At 39.1% G+C, this 11656-nt stretch overlaps 1 annotated feature.

The window, feature by feature from the left end:
• Positions 419-498: an enhancer, noted in NCBI's record as "active region_27527". NCBI's record gives its function as "activates an Ori minimal core promoter by ATAC-STARR-seq in GM12878 lymphoblastoid cells {active_cell/tissue: GM12878}" and the evidence as "EXISTENCE:reporter gene assay evidence [ECO:0000049][PMID:35858748]".

The raw sequence follows: 11656 nt of genomic DNA, 5'->3' as shown, positions 1-11656 counted from the left end.
TTTAGCCTCTGCCCAGGAGGGTAAAAATATGAACTGGCCTTTTCTGAAATAAATTTTACCAATATGGCTAAGATTCTTGCTAAATATTATGAAGGAATTCATTGCATATGTGAATATATTTAAGTGAAACATTAAAAAAAACCCCACCTTCTCACGCCTGTAATCCTAGCCCTGTGGGAGGCCAAGGAGGGCGGATTACAAGGTTAAGAGATTGAGACCATCCTGGCCAACATGGTGAAACCCCGTCTCTACAAAAAATACAAAATTAGCCGGGCGTGGTGGTGCACACCTGTAGTCACAGCTAATCGGGAGACTGAGGCAGGAGAATCACTTGAACCCAGGAGGCAGAGGTTGCAGTGAGCTGAGACCATGCCACTGCACTCCAGCCTGGTGACAGAGTGGGACTCCAACAACAACAACAACAAAAACACCTTATAATCCATGAATCTTTCTAAAAGACATGAGTGTCCTAACTAGAATGCTAAATGTGTTGGTGGGTGATGGTACCTAGGTTTGAAGTAACATGGGACATATGTAGAATATGTGCATAGGAAGTGAAGATTTAGGAAAGGAACAAGTCTAAAAGTCATTTTAAGGGCAACGTGGTCTGCAGCATGACCTTATGAATCTCATTAAATGCTTGGTGTGCTTGGAGTTATGATGGAAACTGATAGAAAGGCAAGTTCTGTGTAACCATTGACATGGTTGAAGTTCTCAGCTCTCATGGGGGAGGGCACTGCAGAAGACTGAGCTACATAAGCAAATAAGCAGCTGCTAACTTGGAAAATGACTCCCTTGGGACTGTCTTCTTTCCTGGGCCTTAGCTTGGTGGATGTTTAAAGATGGTCAATAGTGATTTCCTGCCTCTTTTGGTACTAAGCCATGTTTTCAATAAGACAATTAATAAATTTGGTAGATACCTTAGGTCAGTTCACAGGCAAACAAACTCATAAGAGGATGGGTAACAGTCTGTTCACTGGCTTTCTCTAAATAGATATGGTGAGTCATTTCTTCCCCTTAGGTTACCATCTGCTATGGTCTAGAAATCAGTCCCAATTTAAAGAATTTACTTTCTTCTTCTTTTTCCCCCTTCCACTGATATTCTTGCACAAGAGAAATATTGACCTAGGACACTTACATTCATTTCTTTTTGTGCATGATGAACCATATTTTCTGAAAGTTTTATTCTCTTGCAAACCAGGTAACCTAATAAGATGTATTACCATTTTGATATTTGAAAAGGTAAACAGTAAAATGCTAAATGTTCTGCAAGACTGAAGATTTTGAGTTAAAGAAAATATCAGAGAGCTTCAGAAAATAAATAGCTATGTTATAGCATGCAGAGTTGTCATACAAAATCAGCAGCAATCTAGGCAACTCCAGCAAAGTCTCAGGATACAAAATCAATGTGCAAAAATCACAAGCATTCCTATACACAAACAATAGGCAAACAGAGAGCCAAATTATGAATGAACTCCCATTCATAATTACTATGAGAATAAAATACTTAGGAATACAGCTAACAAGGGATGTGAAGGGCCACTTCAAGGAAAACTACAAACCGCTTCTCAAGGAAATAAGAGAGGACACAAACAAATGGAAAAAATATTCCGTGCTTGTGGATAGGAAGAATCAATATCGTAAAAATGACCATACTGCCCAAAGTAATTTACAGATGCAATGCTATTCCCATTAAAATACCACTGACATTCTTCACAGAATTAGAAAAAACTGCTTTAAAAATCATATGGAACCAAAAAAGAGCCCAAATAGCCAAGACAATCCTAAGCAAAAAGAACAAAGCTGGAGACATCATGCTACCTGACTTCAAACTATACTACAAGGCAGCAGTAACCAAAACAGCATGGTACTGGTACCAAAACAGACACGTAGACCGATGAAACAGAATAGAGATCTCAGAAGTAAGACCACACATCTACAACTATCTGATCTTTGAAAAACCTGAAAAAAACAAGCATGGGGAAAGGATTCCATATTTAAAGAATGGTGCTGGGATAACTGGCTAGCCATATGCAGAATATTAAATCTGGACTCCTTCCTTGTGCCTTATACAAAAATATAATCAAGAAGGATTAAAGACTTATATGTAAAGCCCAAAAGTATAAAAACCCTAGAAGAAAATCTAGGCAGTAACATTGAGGAGATAGGCACAAGCAAAGATTTCATGACAAAAACATCAAAAGCAATTGCAAAAAAAGCCAAAATTGACAAATGGGACCTAATTAAACTAAAGTGGTTCTGCACAGCAAAAGAAACTATCATCAGAGTGAACAGACAACCTAAAGAATGGGAGAAAATTTTTGCAGTCTATCCATCTGATAAAGGTCTAAATTCCAGAATTTACAAGGAACTTAAGCAAATTTACAAGAAAAAAAAATCACATTAAAAAAGTAGGCAAAGGACATAAACAGACACTTCTCAAAAGATGACATTTATGCAGCTAACAAACATGAAAGAAAGCACAGCATTACTGATCAGTAGAGAAATGCAAATCAAAACATCAATGAGATACCGTCTCATGCCAGTCAGAATGGCAATTATTAAAAAGTCAAGAAGCAACAGTTGCTGGTGAGGCTGTGGATAAATTGGAATGCTTTTACACTGTTTGTGGAAAGGTAAATTAGTTCAACCATTGTGGAAAACAGTGTTGCAATTTCTCAAGGACCTAGAACCAGAAATAACATTTGACCCAGCAATCTCATTACTGGGTATATATCCAGAGGAATATAAATCATTCTATTATAGAGATACATGCACGTGTATGTTTATTGTGCCACTATTTACAACAGCAAAGACATAGAATCAACCCAAATGCCCATCAATCACAGACTGGATAAAGAAAATGTGGTACATATACATCAATGGAATACTATGCAGCCATAAAAAGGAATTAGATCATGTCCTTTGCTGAGACACAGATGGAGCTGGAAGCAATTATCCTCAGCAAACTAACACAGGAACCAAAAACCAAACACTGCATGTTCTCACTTATAAGTGGGAGCTGAACAATAAGAACACATGGACACGAGAAGGGGAACAACACCCACTGGGGCCTGTCAGGGGAGTGGGGTGTTGGGGACCATCAGGATAAATAGATAATCCATGCAGGACTTAATACCTAGGTGATTGGTTGATAGGTGCAGCAAACCACCATAGCACACGTTTACCTGTGTAACAAACCTGCACAAATATCCTGAAACTTAATATAAAATTAAATTAAATTAAGAAAAAAACAACAAAAACAAAATCAGCAGCAATCTATGTCAGGCCTACAAATGACAGGTGTCTCTCTCATAGAAACCCACCACATTCAAAGTGAAAGTTATAGGGAATGCTAAGTATCAAAATCATTTCTATAGCATTCTGTTTCTTTTTCTTTTTCCTTTTTTTTTTTTTTTTTTTGGACGCAGTCTCTGTCACCAGGCTGGAGTGCAGTGGCATGATCTCAGCTTACTGCAACCTCCACCTCCCGGGTTCAAACAATTCTCTTGCCTCAGTCTCTCGAGTAGCTGGGACTACAGGTGTGTGCCACCACGCCCAGCAAATTTATTATTATTATTTTTTGTATTTTTAGTAGAGACGGGGTTTCGCCATGTTGGCCAAGATGGTCTCAATCTCTTGACCTCATGATCCGCCCACCTCAGCCTCCCAAATTGCAGGGATTACAGGCATGAGCCACTGTGCCAGGCCCATTCTGTTTCTTTAACTATGTAGCAGATAATTAAATACTTTTACCATAAATAAAAATGGTCATTTTGAGAAGATAAACTTGTTGACAGCTAATGTGCAGAGAGTCCAATGATGGCAATACACTTATGGAGAATTCCTCAATGGTTCAAGGAGTTTCTACTGATCTTATTTGATGTTAATGGTTTGCCATGTATCATCCTGAAGAAGATCTTTAGAGGCAAAAAAGATAATTCATATCTTTAGCCAAGCAACTTCTTGGGATTAAAGAGACACAGAGAGGTATAAATCCTGTTTTTTATGCTGGTTAGATAAAGCCAGTTCTATCTGAGGACACCCCTGTCTGCTGACCTCTAGTAGGGCCCCAATCTGACTGCACCTGCTTGCAATGCAGCCTTGGATGCCCAATTGAGGTGCTTCCTGGGGGCTCACATCATAGCTCCCTCACCAGCAGACTGCACCTGAGCATCAGAGAGCTCTATCAGTGCAGCCTCCACTGACACACAACAGCCCACCCACACCCTCTCCCACTGCAGCCTCCTCCATACCTGCATTGCCAGGATGCACTCACCCATGGCCACACCCCCACTGCTTTGTGAGAATGCACACAGGCAAAGATCACTTCTCCCCCACTAGTGTGTGTGTGCACACGTTCTGTGTCACCCAAATGCTGCCTGTGTGAGCATACCCTGCTGCCCCTGCCTCCCTAATGAACAGGCATCTGGCTGCACTGCCACTGCTGGCAACACTCACATAGATGCAAGCAACCCCACCCTGCTCCCCATACCACCAATGCTGCTGCTGTGAATGTGGAATGGACACTGGTTGCTGGTGGCCCTGCCTCCATCTTGTGCTGCCACTGCCACCACTGTGAACACGTGCATGGATGCCACTAGCTTCATGCCCGCCAATGTCCAGTCCCCACATCTGCCTTTGCCAGTGCAAGTGCAAACATGGACACTGGCAACTTTGTCCCGGCTGTTCCCCACTAACCCCAGCCACTGGCACAAGTGTGCACAGTAATGATACAGCTCCACTCCTGGTGGTCCCTGTCCCAGTCAACACCCATGCATCCTGCTGCACTTCCATGGCCACGGGAATGCATGCAAATGAGCATGGGTCTTGCTGCCACTGCCCAGATGAAGCACTTTAGCTGGCACCACCCATCAGAGTGTTGTGGCCAGCAGACCAGGAATACCTTAGCACCTCAGCTCAGCAGGTTCTGAATCTCAAGGGGCCAGTGAACAAAGCCAGGGCCTGGTACCAGCTCCCTAGAGTTAGAGTATACAGCCCAGTAGTGCTGAGCTGAGCCATGGCCCCCTAAATTCTTCTGGAAATGAGGCCAGTTGATTGAATCCACCTTATACCGCAATCAAACTCCCAAGGGTATCAAAGAAAGTACAAGTAGAGAAACTCATCCAAAGGACAGTATTTTCAAAGATTAAAGGAACATCAGCCCACACAGATGAGAAAGAACCAGCACAAGAACTGGACAACTAAAAAAGCCAGAATGCCTTATTTCCCTCAATGAAGACACTAGTGCCCCAGCAATGATTCTTATCTAGTCTCAAATGGATGAAATGGCAGAAACAGAATTTAGAATATGGAAGGAATGAAGATCTTCAACATTCAGGAGAAAGTTGAAACCCAATCCAAGGAATCTAAAAAAATACAATAAAATGATACAGGAAATGAAAGATGAAATGGCCATTTTAAGAAATAATGAAAGTGATTTGATAGAGCTGAAAACTTCACTTTAACAATTTTATAAGATAATCACAAGTATTAGCAGCAGAATTAAGCAACTGAGAAAACAATCTCAGAGCTAGAAGACTGGTTCTCCAAAATAACTCAGGCAGAAAAAAATAAAGAAAAAAGAATAAAGAAGAATGAACAAAGTCTCTGAGACATATTAAATTATGTAAAGAGACTAAATCTATGACTCATAGGCATCCCTGAAGGAGAGAGAAAGAAACCAAGAAACTTGGAAAACGTATTTAAGAGTATCACCCATGAAAATATCCCCAATGTCACTAAAGAAGCCAACCATATTTCAACTTCAGGAAATACAGAGAACCCTGCAAGATACTATACAAGACAATCATCCCCTATGTATCACCTTGTATATGTCTATACAAGACACATAGTAATCAAAGGTCTCCAATATCAAACTGAGAGAAAAAATATCAAAGGCAGCTAGAGAGAAAGGTCATGTTACTTACCAAGGGAACTCAATCAGGCTAACAGTGGACTTTTAGCAGAAATTCTACAGGCCAGAAGAGATTGGGGACATATATTCAACATTTTTAAAGATAATAAGCCCAACCAAGAATTTCATTTCCAGCCAAACTAAGCATCGAAAATGAAGGAGAAATAAGATCCTTTTTCAGACAAGCAAATGCTAAGGGAATTCATTACCACCAGACCTGAATTATAGCAGATCCTTAAGGGAGTGCTAAATATGGAAAAGAAAAACCACTACAAACCACCACAAAAACACAGTGAAGTACATAAACTATTGACACTATAAAGCAACCACAAATCAAGTCTACATAAAAACCAGCTAACAACATGATAACAGGATCAAATCTGCACATATCAATATTAACCATGAATGTAAATGCATTAAATGTCCCAATTAAAAGGTGCAGAGTAGTGGCGAATTGGATAAAGAAACAAGATCCAACTATATGCTGTTTTCAAGAGACATATCTCACATGCAATGTGAGATGTCCACCCAGCTCAAAGTAAAGGAGAAAAATCTACCAAGAAAATGGAAAACAGAAAAAAGCAAGAGTTGCTCTTCTAATTTCAGACAAAACAGACTTTAAACCATCAATGATCAAAAAAGAAAAAGAAGGGCATTACATAATGTTAAAGAGTTCAATTCAGCAAGAAAAACTATCTCAAATATATATGGATCCAATACAAGAGCACTCAGATTCCTAAAGTAAGGTTTTAGAGATCTATAAAGAGACTTAGCTAACTACACAATAATAGTGGAAGACTTCAACACTCCACTGACAGTATTTATTAGACAGATCATCAAGGCAAAACACTAACAAAGATATTTGGGACCTTAACTTGACACTTGACCAAATAGACCTAACAGACATTTACAGAAATCTCCACCCAATAACGAATATACATTTATCTTATCTGCACATTGCACATACTCTAAAATCAACAACACAGTCAGCCGTAAAACAATCCCCAGCAAATTAAAAACACACACACACACATAAAACCAACCACACTATCAGACTACAGCACAATAAAAAGTAGGAATCAACACTAAGAAAATCACTCAAAATCAAACAATTGTATGGAAATTAAACCACCTTCTCCTGAATGATTTTTAGGTAAACAATGAGTTTAAGGCAAAAATCAAGAAATTCTTTGAAACTAATGAGAACAAAACATACCAGAATCTCTGGGACACAGCTTAATCAGTATTAAGAGGGAAGTGTATGTGCTAAATATCCACATCAAAAAGTTAAAACAATCTCAAATTAAATTAACAATATAATATCACACCTAGAGAAATTAGAGAAAGAAGAGTAAACCAATTCTAAAGCTAGCAGAAGAAAACAAATAACAAAAATCAGAGCTGGACTGATGGAAATTGAGATGGTGTAAACCATACAAAAAATCAATGAATCCAGGAGTTTGTTTCATGAAAGAATAAATATGATTGATAGATTGTTAGTTACACTAATAAAGAAGAAAACAGAGAAGCTCCAAATAAACACAATAAGAAATTATAAAGAGGACATTACTATCCACCCCCACAGAAGTACAAAAAACCCTAAGAGACTACTATGAACACCTCTACACTCACAAACTGGAAAACCTAGAAGAAATGGATAAATTTCTAGAAACACATAACCTCCCAAGTTTGAACCAGAAATAAATTGAATCCCTGAATAGACCAATAATGAGTTCTGAAATTGTATCAGTAAAGAAAAATCTATCAACCAGAATAAGTCCAGGACCAGATGGATTCACAGCTGAATTCTGCCAGATGTATAAAGAGCTGGTATTCCTACTAAAACTAATCCAAGAAACTGAGGAGGCTGGACTCTTCCCTAACTCATTCTGTGTGACCAGCATTATTCTGATACCAAAACCTGGCAGAGACACAACAAAAAAGGAAAACTTCAGTCCAGTATCCCCAGTGAACATAGATGCAAAAATCCTTAACAAAATACTAGCAAATTAAATACAGCAGCACATCAAAAAGCTAATTCACCATGATCAACTAGGCTTTATCTCTGGTATGTAAGTTTGGTTCAACATACACAAGTCAATAAATATGACACATCACATAAACAGAACTGAAAACAAAACCCACATCATCATCTCAATAGATGCAGAAAATGTTTTCAATAAAATTCAACATTCTTTCATGTTAAAATTTCTCAACGAACTAGGCATTGAAGGAGAATAGCTCAAAATAGTAAGAGCCATCTATGACAAACCCACACTTAACACCATCCTGAATGGGAAATAGTTGGAAGCATTTCCCTTGAGAACATCAACAAGAAAAAAAGAGCCACTCTCACCACTCTTTTTCAACACAGTACTGGAAGTCCTAGCTAGAACAATCAGGCAAGAAATAGAAATAAAAGGCACTCAAGTAGGAAGAGAGAGAGTCAAACTATATCTCTTCACAGATGGTATGTTTCTCTACCTAGAAAATCCTATAGACTCAGCCCAAAAGTTGCTAGATGTGATAAACAACTTCAGCAAAGTTTCAGTGTACAAAATCAATGTACAAAAACCAGTAGCATTTCTATGAAAAAACAACATCCAAGCCAATAATGCAATCTCATTCACAATAGCCACAAAAAGAGTAAAATACCCAAGAATAACTAACCAGGAGGTGAAAGATCATGACAATGAGAATTATAAAACACTGCTCAAAGAAGTCAGAGATGACACAAACAAATGAGAAAAATGTTCCATGCTCATGGATAGGAAGAATCAATATTGTTAAAATGGCCATACTGCCCAAAGAGATTTATAGATTCATGCTATTCCTAACAAATTACCAATGACATTCTTCATAGAATTAGAACAAACTAGTTTAAAATTCACATGAAAGCAAAAATGATAATAATAATAATAATAATAATGAGCCTGGCCAGTTGTGGTGGCTCACACCTGAAATCCCAGCACTTTGGGAGGCTGAGGCGGATGGATAACAAGGTCAGGAGATTGAGACCATCCTGGCTAACACGGCAAAACCCTCTCTCTACTAAAAATCCAAAAAAAAAAAAAAAAAATTAGCCAGGCATGGTGGCACATGCCTATAGTCCAGCTACTCAGGAGGCTGAGATGGGAGAATCACTTGAACCTGGGAGGCAGAGGTTGCAGTGAGCCGAGGTCACGCCACTGCACTCCAGCCTGGGTGACAGAGTGAGACTCCATCTCAAAAAAAAAAAAAAAAAAAAAAAGCCTGAATAGCCAAGACTATCCTAAGCAAAAGAACAAACTGAAGGCATCACATTACCTGACTTCAAACTATTCTACAAGCTACAGTAACCAAAACAACAATGATAGTGGTACAAAAACAGGCCCACAGACCAATGGAATAGGATAGAGAGCCTATAAATAAGGCCACACACCTACAACCATTTGATCTCCCAAAAAGTCTACAAAAAAACAGTAATGGGGAACTGACTCCCTATTCAATACATGGTGCTGGAGTAACTGGCTACCCATATGCCGAAGATTGAAACTGGACCCCTTTTTTACATTATATACAAAAATCAACTCAAGATGGGTTGAATACGTAAATTTAAAATCTAAAACTATAAAATCTTTGGAAGATAACCTAGGAAATACCATTTGGATATAGGCCCTGTAAAAGATTTCATGATGAAGACACCAAAATCAGTTGCAGCAAAACCAAAAACAGATGAATGGGACCTAATTAAACTAAAGAGCTCCTATGAAGCAAAAGAAACTATTAATAGCATAAGCAGACAACCTACAGAGTGGGAGAAAATATATGCAAACTGTGCATCTGACAAAGGCCTAATACCCAGAATCTGTAAGGAATTTAAATTCACAAGCAGAGAAACAAACAACCCCACTGAACAGTGGGCAAAGAACCTGAACAGACACTTTTCAAACAAGACATATATGTGGCAACTAGCATATGAAAAAATGCTCAACATCACCAATAAGTAGAGAAATGCAAATCAAAGCCACAATGAGATACCATCTCACATCAGTCAGAATTGCTATTATTAAAAAGTCAAAAAATAATAGATGCTGGTGAGGTTGCAGAGAAAAGGGAACATTTATACACTGCTGATGGGAATGTAAACTAGTTTGGCCTTTGTGGAAAGGAGTTTGACAATTTCTCAAGGAACTCAAAGTAGAATTACTATTAGACCCAGCAATCCCATTACTGGGTATATACCCAAAGGAATATAAATTGTTCTACCACAACGATACCTGAATAGGCATATTCAGACACCTGAATATGAATAGAATATGAATATGTTCATTGCAGCATTATTCACAAAAGCAAAGACATGAAATAAACCTAAATGCCCATCAAAAGTAGACTGGATAAAGAAAATTGGTACATCCATGGAATGCTACACAGCCATACGAAAGAATGAGATTAGGTCCTTTGCAGGAACATGGATGTAGCCAGAGGTCATTATCTTAAGTGAATAAATGCAGGAACAGAAAACCAAATATTCAGTTTCTTCCTCATTTTGGGAGCTAAGCATTAAGTACTATACTAATCCATTCTTTTACTGCTATAAAGAATTACCAGAGACTGGGTAATTTATAAATAAAACAGGTATAATCAGCTCACGGTTCTGCAGGCTGTACAGGTTTCTGCTTCTAGGAAGGCTTCAGGAAACTTACAACCATGGTGAAAGGCAAAGGGGAAGCAAGCATATCTTTACATGGCCAGCAGGAGGGTGGGGGGAGGTGCTACACACTTTTAAACAACCAGATCTCATGAGAACTCTGTCATGAGACAGCACTAGGGGGATGGTGCGAAACCATTAGACACCACCTCTATGATTCAGTCACCTTCTACCAGTCTCCTCTTCCAATGTTGGGGATTACAATTTGACATGAGATTTGAGTGGGGACACAGAGCCAAACCATATCAAGCACATATGGACACAAACAGGGGAACAACTGACAGCAGGGCCTACTGGAAGGTGGAGGGTGGGAAGAGGGCAAGGATCCAAAAACTACCCATCGGGTACTATGCTGATTACCTGGGTGACAAAATTATCTGTACACCAAACCCCTGTGACATGCCATGTGCCTGTATAACAAACCTGGACATGTACCCCTGAACCTAAAATAAAAGTTTAAAAAAGTGGTGAGTGAGCAAATGTGAACAAAAATATATTCTCACCTGGCGCAACATGTAAGATACCAACCATCTGTTCATTTCATTTTCCAGGAAACAGAAAGAACGGGAATAAACTTCTTATTTTAATTGAAGAAAAAAGAAAGGGTGAGGTCATTTAGTGCATTTAGTAGGTCCAGAAACTGCCATCTATTAGGTTTTCAGATTTTCAGTGGGCTTACCATACTATTGCTTAGCCCTGATCAACCCACTGCCTGGAAAATATTTTTCCCTTCCAGATTTATTTTTGCTGGAAAATCACCCCTGCCAGGCTCTTAAACTGAAGCTGCTGTTGATGCTTCTGACGCCTGCACACCCAGGGCCATTGTTCTCAAAGTGTGGTTCCCTGGACCAGAACTATTAGCCTCACCAAGGACTTTTTAAGAATGCTGATTCTCAGACCCCACCCAGCTCTACAGAATTGGAAACTCTGGAGCTGAGGCCCAGCAGCTCCAGTTTTAACAAACCCTCTAGGTGATTCGAATGCATCCTAAATGTTTAAGAAGCACTGCCCAAGGGGATGAGAGAGAACCATATCTCAAACATGAGGAT

This window comes from Homo sapiens, chromosome 8, assembly GCF_000001405.40.
Source record: "Homo sapiens chromosome 8, GRCh38.p14 Primary Assembly".
Classification (NCBI taxonomy): domain Eukaryota; kingdom Metazoa; phylum Chordata; class Mammalia; order Primates; family Hominidae; genus Homo; species Homo sapiens.
Note: the sequence above shows the minus strand (reverse complement) of the source record. Positions and strands in the feature narration are given on the sequence as shown.